The sequence below is a fragment of the Homo sapiens genome, chromosome 12, assembly GCF_000001405.40.
Source record: "Homo sapiens chromosome 12, GRCh38.p14 Primary Assembly".
NCBI lineage: Eukaryota > Metazoa > Chordata > Mammalia > Primates > Hominidae > Homo > Homo sapiens.
Genome location: NC_000012.12, coordinates 131,673,636 through 131,692,733, shown reverse-complemented (window position 1 = coordinate 131,692,733; position 19,098 = coordinate 131,673,636). Strand labels below are relative to the sequence as shown.

At 53.2% G+C, this 19,098-nt stretch overlaps 1 long non-coding RNA gene across 2 annotated transcripts, besides 1 other annotated feature; it reads right to left on the bottom strand.

Moving 5' to 3' along the window:
• Window positions 1-36: 36 nt before the first annotated feature.
• LOC105370087 (uncharacterized) lies at window positions 37-15,026 on the bottom strand. Of its 2 annotated transcripts, none has more exons than XR_001749183.1 (3): window positions 14,882-15,026; window positions 1,835-3,173; window positions 37-413 (listed from the first exon to the last, which is right to left on the bottom strand). It is a non-coding gene; the product is annotated as an uncharacterized LOC105370087 (long non-coding RNA). The 2 variants fall into 2 exon arrangements; XR_945572.1 differs by lacking the exons at window positions 37-413; window positions 1,835-3,173 and adding exons at window positions 11,681-12,717; window positions 12,817-12,906.
• Window positions 10,304-10,453: a silencer, noted in NCBI's record as "silent region_5098". NCBI's record gives its function as "represses an Ori minimal core promoter by ATAC-STARR-seq in GM12878 lymphoblastoid cells {active_cell/tissue: GM12878}" and the evidence as "EXISTENCE:reporter gene assay evidence [ECO:0000049][PMID:35858748]".
• Window positions 15,027-19,098: the final 4,072 nt, after the last annotated feature.

Below are 19,098 nucleotides of genomic sequence, written 5' to 3'. Positions count from 1 at the left end.
CCTTTCCTGTCCTGGATGGGCAGGTGACGTCAGGGATCTGGTGGCCTCCTGTCCCCCTCCCCGCCTCCGCAGCACGTCATAGACCCTGGGATTCAGCTGCTGTGCCTGGGGGAGCTGATATCCGGTGTGTTTCACGGGGGCAGGTGGAGATGAAAGCCGTTGGTGGAATCGTGAAGGCGGTGCTGCTTCCCATGCACCTGAGCTGGAGGAGACTCACAAGGGCCTGAGCTGCGAGTCTTGGGTCCAACTCACCTCAGGCCTTTAGTGACACAAGTTGGTTCTCCCTCCTCAGCGGGGTCAGATGCGTCACTGCACCTCCCAGGCGTATGGGGACTCTCTTTAGAGAAGCCTCTGCGGACATTTCTTCCTTGACAACAGCCAAAGCTCTAGGAATCCTGGAGTCCAGCATCACCCTGAAAAGTGAGGGAAATGACCCCAAACGGGGCCTAGCTAGGCTGTGAGAGGACAACCAGGAGGGTCCCAGGCACCTGCCCTCCCCTCCCCTCTCCAACCCCGGAGAGGAGGCTTGGCGTTCCCCTCTTTTCCCCTCTTTTCGCAGGACTCTTCTCCTGCCCATTCTTGGGCGCCCCCCTACCCCACCATGCGAACAGCCCAGACTCAGCCCTTATAAAAGGGCTGGAAGCAACCTTAAAGTTAAAGTGAAAATGTTTTCACCCAGCACTTCCTTCCAGAAATTCATCCAAGAAAAGCAATCAGAGGTGTGTGTGAAGATTTATATTGTAACAGCATTGTTTGTAATGGTGGAAAACATTGGAGACAATCTAGACGTTTAAAATAGAGGATGCATTATATGAGTTATTGTACATCATTCTCATCGCATATCAAACAGACATTAAAAATAATGCTGTAATGTGGGCAAGGATGTCTGAACAAAGATATTCATTACAGTGTGATTTGTAACAAAAGACTAAGATAAATGTCTGTTGATAGCGAATAGCTTAAATAAATTATGAGGCCCCTATACAGTAGCACAGGCTGAAGCCATTAAAAATAATGAGGGTTCTGTAAGGTCCCAACTTGGAAGAATCATGCTATATAAAAAAGTGTGCTACCATTTTTCTGTATGTGTGCATGTGTGTGTGTGTGCATATATGTGCATATGCATGTCTGTATGTTTGCATGTGTGTGCACTTGTTCCTGTATGGACTATCTTTGAGTTTTTTATTTTTATTTTTTGAGACAGAGTCTAGCTCTGTCTCCCAGGCTGGAGTGCAGTGGTACGATCATGACTCACTGCAGCCTTGACCTCCTGGGCTCAAGCGATCCTCCTACCTTGGCCTTCCAAGACGCAGGGATTACAGGCACACGCCACCCTGCCCAGCAGAGACTATCTTTGGAAAGACCTTTTAGAGCAGGTGACCACGGCTGCCTTTGAGGGCTAACACAGAGACATTGTGGCCAAAATAACAAAGAAGAAACTTCTTTTCCTCCCCACTGTGTATTTTATACTCTACACTTTTAAACCACAGACATGTCTTATTTTGGGGACATAAAAGCAAAAAACTAAAACACCAAAAAGACCCTAGAGCTCAGTGCACACAGACGTTGTCCTGGGGTGAAAGCACTTTGGCCAGGGTGGGAAAAGGCCAGCCGTACCAGCCCCAGCGTCCTCTTTTGTAAAACATCCAATTTCAGCTGGGAAATAAAGTTTTAGGGTTACAGCTCTTCATCTCTGATTCTGCAACCTCAACACCCACCGTTTCCTATGTTTTAAAATAAACTTTTCCAGTTTAGCATGGCTTTAGGTTTTCTGAGAAGGTGTGAAGACTGTACAGAGTCCTCCCAGCTCCTGTCCCGTTTCCCTGTCACTAACCTCTTTCATTACCACGGTACATTCGTCACAGTTAATGAGTTCGCACGGATGCATCACTCTTAACCCATGTCCACGCTTCAGTCACACTTTATTCGTTGCTCCAACGGCCTTTTACTCTCCCAGGCTCCCACCCGGGATCCCAGGTGACATTCAGTCATCGTGTCTCCTTGGGTTGCTCTTGGCTGTGACCGTTTCCCAGGCTTTCCTTGCTTTATTGACCTTGACAGTTGTGAGGAGGACTGGCCAGGTGTTCCGTGCATGGTCGCTTTGTTGGGATTTGTCCAGTGCTTTGCTCCTGATTAGCCTGGGGTGTACAGAGGTAAGGTGGCTGTCTCTCACGGCATATTGAGGGCCCCTGTTATGCATCGGACATCATGGCTGACGTTGACCTTGATTCCTGGCTGAGCCTGGTTGCCAGGTTTCTCCACTGTAAAGTGACTTCTCCTTTTTCCATTCTGTGCTCCTTGGAGTCGCCATGCAGAGCCTCGATCTCTGTCTCCAGTGAAGATGGTGACAGTGGTCCCTGCTGGTGGTGCTGCCCAGAGGGAACGGTGCTGTCGGCCATCCTGGCTCTGTCCTTCCCAACGGCTGCACAATCAAGTCACAAGCCTGCGCTTTTGGACGCCTTTGGCTATTCAGCCTGGTTCTTTATCTGTGACATTCACCACATGTCCTGGGGATAGAGTTCCAGAAAGGATGGCCCATCCTTGTTTGTGTGTGAGGTGTGTAGAAGGAAAAATAAGGCTGAACATCATTATTTAGGCCTTTGGGGGAAATGTTTTGAGTCCTCTGTATGCAAGAATCAAGATGTATAATTCAGCAGCTGAAATCTCAGTCTTACTTTCATGTCTGGAAATGAATTATAATATACATGCAAATTAAGGAAGGTGACTTTTTTTATCCCTGTTCTGTTTCTCTACAGGATAATTTCTACCATGTTCAGCTGAGGGTGCAGAGTCACATCACTTTTTTCCTTTCTCTGAAGTTCATATTTTATTTGAATTCTACTGGGCGTTTATCACCCCTCTCCATTTAGAATGATGCTGTCAGAACCCACTGTCTTTCTACATCTGCACCTCATTCCTTATTTATATGAGATTCTCCAAAGGCAGATGTTATGGAGCAGAAAATTGGTTTTGGAGCAGACTTTCTCCATGAATTTTCAGGATGACCGTTGCATCAAATGCCCGTTAGTAGAAATGGAGTGTCTTAGGCTGTTCTCTGCTGCTATAACAGAATATCACAGACGGTAATTTGTAAAGACGAGACATTTCTTCTGCTTATGTTTCTGGAGGCTGGGAACTCCACGTGCATGACACTGGCCTCTGGTGTGGTCATCCTGTGGTGGAAGGGTGGAAAACGAGAGGGTGAGTGATTGCAGAGAGAAGAGACAGCACGAGGGGCTGGGCTCAATTCATAACAACCCACTCCCACCATAACTAACCCACTGTCACCATGACTCACCCATTCCTACCATAACTCACCCACTCCCATCATAACTCACCCACTTCCATCATAACTCACCCAATCCCACCATAACTAACCCTCTCCCACCATAACTCACCCAATCCCACTATAACTAACCCACTCTTACTATAACTAACCCACTCCCATTATACCTAATCCACTCCCATCATAACTAACCCACTCCTACCATAACTAACCCACTCCCACCATAACTCACCCAATCCCACCATAACTAACCCACTCCCACAATAACTAACCCACTCCCATCATAACTAACTTACTCTCACCATAACTTATCCACTATCACCATAACTTACCCACTATCACCATAACTAACCGATTCCTACCATAACAAACCCACTCTCACCATAACTAACCCACTCCCATCATAACTAACCCACTCTCACCATAATTCGCCCACTCCCATCATAACCGACTCCCACCATACTAACTCACTCCATCATAACTAGCCCACTCCCATCATAACTAACCCACTCCATCATAACTAACCCACTCCCACTATAACCCACTTTCACCATAACTAATCCACTCTCACCATAACTAACCCACTCCCACCATAACTAACCCACTCCATCATAACTAACCACTCCATCATAACTAACCCACTCCCACCATAACCCACTCTCACCATAACTAATCCACTCTCACCATAACTAACCCACTCCCACTATAACTAACTCACTGCCATCATAACTAACCCACTCCCACCATAACTAACCCACTCCATCATAACTAACCCACTCCATCATAACTAACCCACTCCATCATAACTAACCCACTCCCATCATAACTAACCCACTCTCACCATAACTAACCCACTCTCATAACTAACCCACTTCCATCATAACTAACCCACTCCCACCATAACTAATCCACTGTCACTATAACTAATTCACTGCCATCATAACTAACTCACTGCCATCATAACTAACCCACTCCCACCGTAACTAACCCACTCCTAGCATAACTCACCCACTCCCATCATAACTAACTCACTCTCACCATAACTAACCCACTCCCACCATAACAAACTCACTCTCACCATAACTAACCCACTCCCATAATAGCTAACCCACTCTCATCATAATTAACCCACTCCTACCATAACTAACCCACTACCATCATAACTAACCCGCTCCCACCATAACTAACCCACTCCCACCATAACTAACCTACTCCATCATAAGTAACCCACTCCCACAAGAACGACATCAATTCCTTTGTGAGGGTGCAGCCCCAGGACCTAATCACCTCTTAAAGGCTCCACCTCTTAACACCAAGAGGATGGCAAGTACATTTTCACATGAGTTTCAGAGGGGACAAACATTCAAACCGTAGCATGGAGATTTCCTGCGAGGAGATGTTTCCCTGCGCAGTCCAGGTGTTAATCCCAGCCGGTCCCTCTCCAGGGGCAGTCAGGGGACACACCCCCGGTGTCAGCAGTGTTTCTGTGGTGCCTGTTCCCTCCTGAGGCCTGGGGCAACAGGACCATGAGAGGGGTCTGGGGCAACTGACACAGCTCCGTGGGGTCCCCCGGATTGCTAGAGCCTCGAGGTCTGGAGTCCTCGTCCCTCGACCCTCCTGGACTCAGAGGCAGCGTCTGGTGCAGGTTGATGCATGGGCTTTAGAGTCTGGGAAACCTGGGATTGAGCCCCAGGTGTCCCTGGTGTCATGCAGATGCATCTGTGCCCCTGGAGGGTGAGTATGAAATGGGACAAGGCAACAGGAGACCTAGCCCAGTGGGGGGCACTTAATAGGCGGGAATACATGGCAGGTGTCCTCAGGAGAGATGCAGGGACCAGCACCAGCCTACCAGTGTGGGGCGCAGATGGACCCTCTGCTGCCACATGGCACATGACAACTCCAACCCTCCTGGTGTCTGACCCAGACCCCTGCCAGGGATGGAGGGTGGGCATGGCCTGGGCACTGCATAGGGGGAGGGTGGCAGCAGTCACAGCGCAGGAGGGGAGGCTGGGCAGGGCTGGAGCCCCAGGGCTCTAGTGTCCAAGGGTAGGAGATGGGCAGCCTGGGAGATGGGGAGGTGAGGAGGGGCAGTCGAGAGAGCTGAGGCTCTGAGCCCCCAGGGCATGCTCCACTGGACTTCGCTCACAAAGTTCAAATTCAAACATAAGGTTATTAAGGATTTCAAGATCCTTGCAGCCCGACTGCAGGGCCTTTGGGCGTGCAGGGATCCGCTGACCATCAGATGCATATGTGCCAGACTCGAGTGAAAGACACACCCAAGTCATGACGTGGTGATTCCCATTCTATAGAGCAGGAAACACGCACGCGTGATTCCCATTCTACAGAGCAGGAAACAGACGGGCGTGATTCTCATTCTACAGAGCAGTAAACGGACACATGTGATTCCCATTCTACAGAGCAGGAAATGGACACACGTGATTCCCATTCTACAGAGCAGGAAATGGACACACGTGATTCCCATTCTACAGAGCAGGAAACGGACACGCGTGATTCCCATTCTGCAGAACAGGAAACGGACACGCGTGATTCCCATTCTGCAGAGCAGGAAACGGACACACGTGATTCGCATTCTACAGAGCAGGAAACGGACACGCCATGATTCCCATTCTACAGAGCAGGTGACGGACACGCCATGATTCCCATTCTACAGAGCAGGAAACGGGCATTCTGTGATTCCCATTCTACAGAGCAGGAGAAAGACATGCCATGATTCCCATTCTACAGAGCAGGAAACAGACACGTGTGATTTCCATTCTGCAGAGCAGGAAACGGACGCGCGTGATTACCATTCTACAGAGCAGGAAACAGACACGGGTGATTCCCATTCTGCAGCGCAGGAAACAGATGTGCGTGAATTACCATTCTACAGAGCAGGAAACGGACACGCGTGATTCCCATTCTGCAGAGCAGGAAATGGACACGCGTGATCCCCATTCTACAGAGCAGGAAACGGACACACGTGATTCCCATTCTGCAGAGCAGGAAACGGACACGCGTGATTCCCATTCTGCAGAGCAGGAAACGGACATGCGTGATTCCCATTCTACAGAGCAGGAAACAGACACGCCGTGATTCCCAATCCGCAGAGCAGAAAACGGACACATGTGATTCACATTCTACTGAGCAGGAAACGGACACACGTGATTCCCATTCTACAGAGCAGGAAACGGACACACGTGATTCCCATTCTACAGAGCAGGAAACAGACACACGTGATTCCCATTCTACAGAGCAGGAAACAGACACGCATGATTTTCATTCTACAGAGCAGGAAACGGACACACGTGATTCACATTCTACAGAGCAGGAAACGGACACATGTGATTCCCATTCTACAGAGCAGGAAACGGACACACGTGATTCCCATTCTACAGAGCAGGAAACAGACACGCATGATTTTCATTCTACAGAGCAGGAAACGGACACGCGTGATTCCCATTCTACAGAGCAGGAAACGGACACACGTGATTCCCATTCTACAGAGCAGGAAACGGACACACGTGATTCCCATTCTACAGAGCAGGAAACGGACACGCGTGATTCACATTCTACAGAGCAGGAAATGGACACGCGTGATTCACATTCTACAGAGCAGGAAACGGACACACATGATTTTCATTCTACAGAGCAGGAAACGGACACGTGTGATTCACATTCTACAGAGCAGGAGACGGATACACCATGATTCCCACTCTACAGAGCGGGAGACGGACACGCTGTGATTCCCATTCTACAGAGCAGGAAACGGACACACATGATTCCCATTCTACAGAGCAGGAAACGGACACACATGATTCTCATTCTACAGAGCAGGAAACGGACACATGTGATTAACATTCTACAGAGCAGGAAACGGACATGGGTGATTCCCATTCTGAAGAGCAGCAAACAGACACGCCGTGATTCTGATTCTACAGAGCAGGAAACAGACACGCATGATTCCCATTCTACAGAGCAGGAAACGGACAGACGTGATTCCCATTCTACAGAGCAGGAAACGGGCACACGTGATTCCCATTCTACAAAGCAGGAAACAGACACGCATGATTCCCATTCTACAGAGCAGGAAACGGACACACGTGATTCCCATTCTACAGAGCAGGAAACGGACACACATGATTCCCATTCTACAGAGCAGGAAACGGACACACATGATTCTCATTCTACAGAGCAGGAAACGGACAGATGTGATTCCCATTCTACAGAGCAGGAAACGGGCACACGTGATTCCCATTCTACAGAGCAGGAAAGGGGCACACCGTGATTCCCATTCTATAGAGCAGGAATCGGACACATGTGATTCCCATTCTATAGAGCAGGGAACGGGCACGTGTGATTACCATTCTACAGAGCAGGAAACAGACACACTGTGATTCCCATTCTACAGAGCAGGAAACAGACACACGTGATTCCCATTCTACGGAGCAGGAAACGGGCACGCCATGATTCCCATTCTACAGAGCAGGAAACGGACACGCGTGATTCCCATTGTACAGAGCAGTAAACAGACACGCCATGATTCCCATTCTATAGAGCAGGAAACGGACACGCGTGATTCCTTCCCATTGTACAGAGCAGTAAACAGACACGCCATGATTCCCATTCTATAGAGCAGGAAACGGACACACGTGATTCCCATTTTCTACAGAGCAGGAAACAGAGACGCCGTGATTCTCAATCTACAGAGCAGGAATCAGACACGCATGATTCCCATTCTACAGAGCAGGAGACGGACACGCCGTGATTCCCATTGTGCAGAGCAGGAGACGGACACGCCGTGATTCCCATTGTGCAGAGCAGGAAACAGGCACAGAAGGCTGGGTGGCATCCCCAGGGTAGTCGGGAGGGAGATGGAGAGCCAGGCTCACACTCAGGTGTCTGGGTCTGCTAAGATTCCTGCTGGCCACACAGTGACCTCAGTTTCGTAGTCACCATCCTCGATGTGAGCCCCACAAGGAGGACGCTACCTGCCGTCCCAGCCTCCCGCTGCGGATGGGAGAGGTTTGATAAAGAAGGAACCGGTCTCAGAGTCCCAGCCTGTGGGCTCTGCGGAGGGGATTAGAAATGGTGCTTCCAGAGTGCCTGAAAGGAGGGAAGCAGCTGCCAGTGCCATCGTCATTATCTACGTTGAGGATGACACAACACCCTTAATGATGCTGAGTGGCTGTTTCCAGACTCAGGGGCTCCCCGCCTTGCTCAGCTGAGCACCTGTCCCGGCTGCAGCCCATCCTCAGCCCTCGGCAGAGCTGGGGCCTGGGCAGCTCGGCCGTCTCCTTCCAGAGGAGCTCAGATATCCTCAGGTGCTGAGGGTCAGCCCAGGTCCCAGTGTGTCCCAGCCCTGGGCGTGGGTCCCCCCACATGAGTGCTGGAGTCAGACAGCATCCCCGCGGGTGGGAGGAGCCCTTCCCGGGCAGGACTGTGCCCTGTTGCAGCTCCATTTGGAGGGAGACTTAACATGTTCTGACACGCAATAGGCTTTCTCTTCAACCCTTTCAAGACTTGGGCATTGATTTTTCTCGTCTGCAGGCTGAAGGACTGGGCTCTGGAGAGGAGATGTAGAAATCGAGGTGGCGGCCGCTGACCCATCGGTGCAGGAGAGAAGCTCTGGAGCCCATGGGTGGGACGAAGGTGGTGGGGACGCAGAGCTGCCCCCAGGCCTGGGCCCAGCTCACCTCCTAGCGCCAGGCACGGCCCCACCCAGAAATCCACAGACAAAGACAGGGCTCTCCAGGGGAACGTGCTCACCCTAAGGGTGGTCCCGCTGAAGACTGGCACAGACTTGGCTTCTGTCCCACACCAGGTCCAGCCTGGACCGTTCCCAAGAGCAGAGGCTGGGAATGTCGGGAGCCAGGAAGTTCCAGGAGTGTCCCCAGGACCATCTGCCCAGTGTGGACAGAGACACAGCACACCAACAACATAACAACACAACACAACAGTTGTGTTACATACCAGACTCAGGGGCTCCTCACCTCGCTCAGCTGAGGACCTACCCTGGCCACAGCCCATCCTCAGCCCTGGGCCTGGGCAGCTCCACTGTCTCCTTCCAGACGAGCTCAGACATCCTCAGTTACAACCACACAACACCAGCACCACACCACAACATAACACAAAACAACACCGCACACCACACCATCAACAGCACTGCCTCAACAAGATAACACAACACCACAATACAACAGCAAGAACATATACAACCATACACACCACACACCACACCATGAAAACCCCAAAACAGCACCACACACCACAGCACACTACAACGTAACACAACATCAACATCAACAATATACACCACACACCACATCACCACACCAACAACATAACTCAAAACACCCCCACACACCACACCATGACATCACAACACAGCATCAACCACACAGCACACCACAATGTAACACAACATCAACAATATACACCACACACCACATCACCACACCAACAACATAACTCAAAACACCCCCACACACCACACCATGACATCACAACACAGCATCAACCACACAGCACACCACAATGTAACACATCAACATCAACAATATACACCACACACCACTTCACCACACCAACAATATAACTCAAAACGCCACCACACACCACACCACAACATAACAACACAGCATCAACCACACAGCACACCACAACGCCATGACAGCAGCACCACAACACAACACCCCATGTGGTTCTGTCACGTGCAGTCAAGGGTGCCCTAGCCCAGACGTGCTGGATGCTGGATGACAAGGAACTCGGTTACAGACGACAAGGACACTCCCAGCCTCGCTGGGGCTGAGCGCTTCCCTCCTGGGGCTCCCTCCACATCTGGTCCTGACCCCCCGTCGCCTCCTGGGGCAGAGCCTGGCCTCCCCTCCCCTCCCCTCCCCTCCCTTCCCTTCCCTTCCCCTCCCCTGCATTAGTCCAGTGGCTGCCTGGGGGAGGGGGGATCCCAGAGCCACCTGCCCATCCCCCCTGGAGGCCATGGAGTTGCTCCACCTTCCTCATCCCCCAGTCTGGGCCCCACCTCTTCCCTGCCCCATCCCCTGGAGGCCATGGGGTTGCTCCACCTTCCTCCCGCCCCAGTCTGGGCCCCACCTCTTCCCCGCCCCGTCCCCTGGAGGCCATGGGGTTGCTCCACCTTCCTCCCGCCCCAGTCTGGGCCCCACCTGTTCTCCTGCCTCCCCCGTCCTTTAGAAGCAGAGGAGGCCGTGAGGATCCAGCACCCACAAGTGAGCTCCGCGCTCCCTTCCCAGGGAGGGGAGGGGAACCCCCACCTGATGTCACCCTCTTTCAATGACTAGGCTTTTAGTGTGTGATTAAACCAGCGGGATTGAGCGATTGTTCTTGGGCAGTTTCTCGACTGTCACCCACGACTCTCCTGGTGTCCACTGCAACCATCTCAACACAGAAGCCCTAGCAGGTGCCGCGTGGCCCGTGTCTCGGGGACTGAGCCCAGGTGTGTGGGTTCAGGCTCTTGGTGGGAAGTGCCAGAGACGGACATCAGCAACTAATGCAGAAACTAACCCACAGGCAGGGCGCCGGGAGGTCCAGGCTTCGGGACACAGGCCCTTCTGAGCCTCCCTCCCCCACCCGAGGTTCGGCATCATCGTCACCACAGAGGCAGCCCCGGGTGCAGCAGGGACATTTATGTCCTAACCAGCAGGATAGAAGGGCATGTGGCTGCCTCGGATAAGTCAGGGCTCTCCCCGGAGAAGACGACAAGGACGTGTGGTGAGCACGTGCTCACGGCAGCGCCAGAGCCCAGCACTAGAGCCAGGTTCGCTCTGCTCTTCTCCATGGCGCTGAAGCACACCTTTGTGTCACCACGGTTTTCTGTGGTGTGACAAGTAATGTTTTCCTAAATACCCAAGTGCCACAGATTGGGAATGTTTTACTTTTTAATACATAAAAGGTCATTAGAGTAATTGACGGTAGGTGACTTCACCCTTGCTACATTCAGACGCGCTGTGTCACCAGATAGGAGGGTCTGGGGTCACAGCTGGCAGGACAAATGCCCAGCTCAGCTGTCCACAGTCAGGAGAGGGCAAACAGCTGGGGGCAGTTCTCTGTGGAGCATCAGAAACCCTGATGCCAATCAGCAGATGCCCGGGAATGTGTTGGCTCACATAGTGAAGAAATCTAGGTTATTCTAGCTGGTTTCAGGTATGGCTGTGTTCTGGCCTCTAGAGACATCTCCAGGACGTTCTCTCTCTCTCTCACTCCATCTCTCTCTCTCTGTCTCTCCCCTGCTCTCTTTCTCTCTCCTGGTCTCTCTCTCTCTCTCTCTCTTCCCGGCTCTCTCCTGCTCTCTTTTTTCCTATTTCTCCCCTGCTCTCACCTCTCTCCTTCTCTCTTTCCCCTGCTCTCTCCTCTCTCCTCTCTCTTTCTCTGGCTCTCTCTCTCTCTCCGCCGTGCTCTCTCCTGCTCTCTCTCTCTCTGGCTCTCAGCTCTTCCCTCCTGTGCTGCTTCCATCTCAGGCCCCACATGCTGTCCCCTGGGAGCCCCGGAATCCCCTCTGGCTGTGACCCCATCAATGCTGCAGCACCTCCCAGCTCACTTGTGCTTAAGAAAGAGCACAGTCCTTCCCCAGTAGCTTCTGCAGTGGTCCTGATCTTGCTCCGATGGGCCCTGATGAGGTCATGTGACCCATACCCCACAGAGTGCTGTCCTAGGGAGGATGTCTGTTTACTATGTGGGCCCCATCACGTGATTTACGTGTACAAAAAGGCGAGGGCCCCACCTGGCCCAAAGGGACAGAATGTGGGGAGGGGCAGCCCACAGGGAGAGCCAAGAGCACCAGGGGAGGCAGGGGAGGGGCTGGGGAGGAGCCTCGTGTCCGGGTGGTGAGTCCTTCACAGCAGAGCCGTCCATCCTGGTGTTCAGGGGCTGCCGTCTCTATTCACTCCCCGGTGGAACCTTTCTGGGCTTGTCGAGTCCGCATCAGCCCCCAGGAGTGTGTCTGCTGCACACTTGACCGGCATCCGTCATGCACATGCAGCAGAAGAAGGGCTGAAAGCCCTGGTCTGTTTCACACCTGAGTGAAAAATTAAGCCTTTTCATCCGTGAGGACTTTAGTCCTAGAGTAACGACCCGGGCCGCTGGACTCCCGAGGGGGCTTCCGTCTGCTCCATCACTCAGGACCCCAATCCCAGAGCTGAGACGGGGCAGGCCCTGATTTTTCCTGCAGTGCGTCTACCGCAATTTATTGCCCAGGATTAATGCTGAGGCTGTTTTCCTGCTTGTGACTGAGAGCGTGCAGACAGACCAAGACGGAGAGGTTTTCCCGACATCGACCAGGGCGGCTCTGCTCCCAGCATCGCGAACGGTGGCACCTGCGTCTGGAAGAGAAGCTCTGCAGGCTGGGATTCAGGGAAGGGGGCGCTGGAGCTTCCTGGGAGAGGCGGGCAGGACTCCCCAACCTGGGAACAGTCAGAGGCAAGAGCTCAACTCCAGGTCGGGCAGGCCGGCGCCTGGATTCCACACTCACAACCGTGCGGCTCAGGCCTCAGTTTACCCACCTGTAAAATGCAGATAACTGTCGTATTGACACGATCGCCTTGTGAGGGCAAATGAGGCAGTCCTGTGAAGATGGCGTGGACGCATCACGGCTGTCGATCATGAGTAATATTGATATAATACAACCACGTAGGGTTGGGTACTGTTGTTAATGCCACTGAGGATGTTTTTATTGATTATTTTGAAGCCCCGCTGTGAATCTACCCTTTTACCTGATCCTAAATCTCTCCTGCTGCTGCAAAGCTACCCTGAGACACACCCAGGAGGTGGATTCTGGGTTCTGGAGCCCCGTCACCCGGCCAGGTCAAGGGACGGAGCTGAAGGTCAGGCACCCCTGCGTCCCCTCCCTACGCTCCCGCCCCTCAGCCCACGTCCCACAGTCCAGACCCCGCACCTCCCCCTCCCCTTTCCTTTTTCCTCCCATGAGACCCATCTCTCCTGCCCCTCCCTGGCCTCCACCCCGTGCTCAGGGTTCAACACTGTCCTCCGATTCCCTCCACGTTTCCCTCCTTCCTCCCTGGGCCCCCATCATCCACAGCAGACACCCCTCAGCCGCCACCCCACCTCCTGCTCCTGGCTGCCCGCGTCCCGTGAGGACCCTGCTCCTGGACCCCAGCGATACATGTCCTCCCGCTTCTCTCCCTCTCATCGGCCCCTCCCAGGAGCCCCCTTCCCAGTGTCATCTCTTGGCTCCAGCTTCTTCCAACCAAACCCTGAACTCCATCCAGAGCGGAGCTGCTGCCCTGCTCCAGAGTCCATCTGGTCAACTCAAGTCAGCCCCTGGGACCCACCCCTGCGGGGCAGCCACATCCCGAGTGCGGAGAGCACGGTTGGCTCATCTGGGACACACGCTTAGTGGCTTGTTCTGTGTGATCGGGGATTGGGTCTGGGGGCCTGTGGGGGTTTGGGTCCCAGGGTGGCTCTCATCTGACCTAGCCTACGTGCCGGCCGCCAGCCACACGGGCCAGTCCGTTGTCCTCAGTGAGGCAGTGCCTGGGAGGTGACAGTGATCAGGGCACAGAGCTCGGGGTGTGGGTGCCATCCTGTTCCCACGTGTGACCAAGTGTCCTCTGTGCAGAGCTTGGGGCACGGGTGCCATTGTGTCCTCATGTGTGACCACGTGTCTTCTGTCTTCCTGTGGCTGCTCCTGGGTGGTCAGGCCCTGTGTTCCAGGCGGCTTCGACTGTGACTGTCCCGGGTGCAGCCATCACTAACCCAGCCTAAGAGCAATAAACCCATCTGCCCTGGCCTGGAGAATGTGTGGGTTACTATGCACCTGTCGCCATGGCACCAGCACCTGTGACTTCAGGTCGGATGAGCGTCTGGAGAAGAGCGAGCAGCGTCAAATGGTCGGGGCCCAGGGTGCCTGCGGAGGTCAGCCTCTGCCCAGTTCTCTGCAGGGAAATCTGTGGGGCCGTCCTGGGCCCCACGGAGCTCACAGTCGCCCTGGGGAGAGGGAGGAGGGGCCCAGGAGGTCTTCTCATCTGGGACAGTCCTGGAAGAGGCCCTTTAGGGACTCGCATGGTAAGTTTAGTCCAGAAACGGGGCACCCAGCAGCCAGGCTGAGCCAGGACCTGAGAAAAGAGACAGCTGTCCCTAGAAGTCCTGCCCTGCGGCTGCTCCATCCACCAGCCAAGTGGAGCATCCTGGACCCACTCACAGGGAGCTCTGCTCTTCATGACTTTAATGCAACCTGTCACCGTCATGGTGGGTGATCACTAATAGAGCATAGCAAGGCAGGGAGACTATAGGGCGGGGAATTTCTGCAGAAGACATTGGAACCAGGAATGTACACAGATACCATGAATGTGAATTGTAGCTTCAAAGGGAAGGCACAGGCAGCCCAGCAACAGCAGCGGCCGATGGGAGCTTGCGGCGAGCCCATCTCTCCTCCAAGTGGTGAGAGACCCCAGAGGAGAGGCCCAGGGTGTCAGCCCCCCGGAACAGAGAGAAAGATGCCTGCGTGGACGGGTCCCCAGAGGTGTGGACAGCAGGGTCCCCACAGTGACCGCGGCAGGACAAGCTCGGGTTCAATCTCCTCAAGGAAAGCTTTAAGCTCATCCTCACCTTCTGAGCAGGTGCAAGCCGGTCCCAGGGATGCTTTGTTCCGTTCCCTGCTCTCCAGGGGAGGCGGGTGGGGAAGGGAGGAAGACAGAGGCCTCTCCCTCCTCCCTACACAGCCTCAGACCTTCCAGCCAGAAGCAGCGCTGGACTGGCGTCCAATGATGATGATGACAAAGCTAATAATTATTAGCATTATGAATTAATAGACAGGGAGGCAGTGAAGTACAGGTGCTGGGGGGCTACAGCACAAAGTCCAGGAGAGTCCATCCTGGCCCCGCCCCTGAGCCCGGGTGACCTTGGGCCAATCCCCCAAGGTCAGCCCTTCCAATGGGTTCCATCACCTCTAAATTGCACCTCCCAGGAGAGCACAAAATGAGAAAAAGCGCTTAAAACCCTGAGCATGGATGGCTCCTGAGATAGCCAGTGGGTCGGGGGCTCCATCCAGCCTGGGATGCTCCATGTAGTCCATATGGCATCCTGTGAAATTCTGAGTCTGTTGCCAATAGTTCAAAGTTGGGATGTTTCAGGTAAAACCTGGATTTCCACCTCATCCTGGAGAACCAGAAGTCCCGGCAGCCCTGGGTGCACCCGGCCACAGTCTGCTGTCAGAGTCAAGGCTGGGGGCTGCTCCCCAGTGACCCAGCTCCCACAAGCTGGACTGGCAGCCACATCCACCCAGCCCCATTGGTGCTGTGACCCTGATGTGACCTGGGCCTCTGCCACCGAGGCCCTGAGCCCCCCTCCCCCAGCGAGAGGCCTACGGCCTCTGGAATAAGCTCAGTGGGGAGCGGCCTGCTGTGGGGACGCCTCTCACCACAGGTTCCCCCTGAGTTTTAAACAAAATGCACATGTGCACACACGCACACACTGAAACACACATCTGCACAAACCTGCACACAGCTACACACCCACACGGATGTACACCACACACATGCCATGCACACACATAGACACACGTGCACTCACACTCACACATCCCAGACATGTGCGCACACTTATGCACACATGCTCAATGCACCTGCACAGAGCAATGTACACACATATACATACACTCATATCCACACACCCCATGTACATGTGTGCACATGCATGCTTAAGTACACCCAAACATAGCACATGTGTACACATATACACACATCTCTACATCCCACGTACCCGTGTGCACATGCATGCTCAAATACTCATAACACACACGTACACACATATGCACACATGCACACTCATATCCATACATCCCATATACCTGTGTGTACGCACATTCTCAAATACACACCTGCACAGAACACATGTACACACATATACACACAACCAAAAACACATCCATGCACACATACACACATATGCACATGAAAACACGTCTGCACATTCATGCATACTAGACGCACACAACATCCACACACCCACATGGATACACAGATACACACGCACACTAACATCCACTCAGCTCCACACACATGCATGTGCACACCTGCACACACACCTGCACACACCTGCACACACACCTGCACACACACCTGCACACACACGCCCACATCACAGCTATATGAACACCTGTACACACACATGCCGCATGCACACCTGCACACCCAGCCTGTCTCCCAGCCTTAGGACAATGACATTCTCCCTTCAGGGTTCCCAAATCCATGACTACACTCACTCAACCCCTCTGCAGGGCCGTGCAGACCCCGTATCTGCTGCCGGAAAGGGAGGCAGTGGGGGATGATGAGAAGCTCCTGTGACACCAGGGATCCAGTGTCCCCTGCACCCATGGGGGTGGACGATTGGTCACTGAGGCTGGTGGCATTAGAGAGGAGAGGCATCAAAATCCCCCGTGGGACAGATGTGGGAAAGGATGCATGTGGGGTGAGGACGGGGTGCTTGAACTGGAAACCAGAGCTCCAGGGTTTCCTCCAGAAGGATCAGGTGGAGACCACAGGCTGAGAGTCTTCTAGTCAGGGGTCAGCAGGAATCAGCCTCGGGGCCTGGCTCCCTGCAGGGGCAAGGGGCTGGATGGCCACCGTGGACTCAGCCTCCATGGATTGTGAGGGAAAAGCTCTTGCCCCTGCAAATCCAGCCCACACCTGCCTCGCTGAGGGACTCATCAGCACCTTGCAGGACCCTCCACTCACCACTAGAAACAGAATGTGCTTGGGTCACTGACTTACTGTTCCTCAAGGGAAAGTTAGGAGGGACCAGTTAAGTTAGAGCTTAGGGGGTGCAGAGACCCTTCGTCAGGAACTCAAAGTGGAAACAGAGCCCAGGCCGTTATTCCGCATCTACTCACCCCTCCCTCTGGAAGGGATCAGAGGCATCTCGGGGTGGGAGCCCCTCCTGGACGTCAGAGCCCAGGGGAGGCCCCATCCTCTCTCCTCGGATGCCTGAACCCAGGGGAGGCCCCGTCCTCTCTCCTCGGATGTCAGAGCCCAGGGGAGGCCCCGTCCTCTCTCCTTGGACGTCAGAGCCCAGGGGAGGCCCCGTCCTCTCTGCTCTGTGGGACGTGCCCAGGCCCGAGGATGGGGGACCAACAATGGGCTCTTCACACAGAACCAGATTGTTTCATCGACCCTGGGAGTGAGGGTCCTGGGTGCTCTGTGTCCCTGATGAATGACACACCTTCCTAGCAAACTACAGGGAAATGTCATCAAATCAAGCTGCTGGTTCTAACCCCAGAACTTACATGAAATGCAGGGAAGGGAGCAGCATCTCCAAGGACGCCTGGGGATGTGATCAGCACCATCTGGACACGGGACTCACAGGACAAATGGCACAGCCCCGTCCTTCTGCAAAGAAATCACGGGGAGAAAAGAAGGGGCTGGAGGAGAGGGGAGAAGGAAGATGGCAGACATGTGTGGAAACCTCCCCCCATAACCAGTGGTGTGCTGGCAGAGGCGGAACAATGGGATCTCTTGGTGTGTGTGTATACTCACGCACCTGTGCACAGATTTTCATTCTTACTGATACAAAGGCTCAGCAGCACCCAGATTTTGAATAGTGGAATATACCATGCCCTTTATTGTGGATTCCATATTGCAACCAGTTGTTGCAGGATGTTCTCACTGATTCTTACTGAACTATTCTATTCATAGTTGACTTCTGGGTGCTGGCTATTGATTTATTGCCTCTGGGTTCCAAAGCTGCCCTGCGTTGTCTGCTCGGTGGAAATGCATCTGGGCCCAGCAGCATCTCTCCCATGTCAGCCAGTGCAGTGTTGAGCACAGTGAGCAGAGGGTGCCGAGGAGGCCTGGCAGGAGAAAAGGTGCGGCTAAGCCAGCTCCAGTGGGCTGGGCTAGAAGGTCAGGGCTGGGCCCCCTTGTAGGGTGGTGCTGGGCTGGTGGCTTCTTCAGTGCTGGCGCCTGTATGAGCTTCTCTCATGTTCTTTGCAGTTCTCTGTACTCCTTAATCCTCAACTCCTCATTACGGCAGTCCTCTGTTAAATTGAACAAACCTTTAAATAAAACCTGCCCTGTTCAAATCACTGTGGGGTTTCTCTCTCCTGATGGAACCCAGGCTGACACACTATGGCTGCAAATCAAGCAAGATTTGGCAAAAATAGACAATGAGTAAACGTCGTCACTGTCAGATTCAGCAAGAGACTCGCAGGACTGACAAATGCGTGCAGTTCTGACGTGCGTGTGGGCTGTATTTTCATGACACTGACCTAAGTGAGAGGATGTCACAGGCATTGGCGCAGGTCAGACAGAAGTGGACACTGGAGCCCCACGTGTTTATCAGCAAACTGGGCAGCTTCCTCACTTAATCAGAAAATCATTTTCAGGCCAGGTGCACTGGCTCACGCTAGTAATCCCAGCACTTCAGGAGGCTGTAGTGGGAGAACTGCATGATGCCAGGAGTGTGAGTCACCCTGAAAAATCTCATCTGTCTCTACAAAACATATTAAAAAAATTAGCTGGGTGTGGTGACGTGTGCCTGTAGTCCCACCTACTCAGGAGGCTGAGGCAGGAGGATTGCTTGAGCCCAGGAGGTTGAGGCTGCAATGAGCTGAGATTGCACCGCGGCACACTTGAGCCTGGGCAACAGAGCGAGACTCTCTCTCCAAAAAAAAAAAAAAGGAAAAAAAGAAAAGAAAAAAAAGGAACTGGTTCATGGTTTTCCTGTACTGGAAGAACATTTCCTCATTTTTTTGTGCCACTCACAGTGTGTTGGCTACTGACACAACACGTTTAATCTGAATCTGCACTTTCTTAAGAATAGGAACTCAA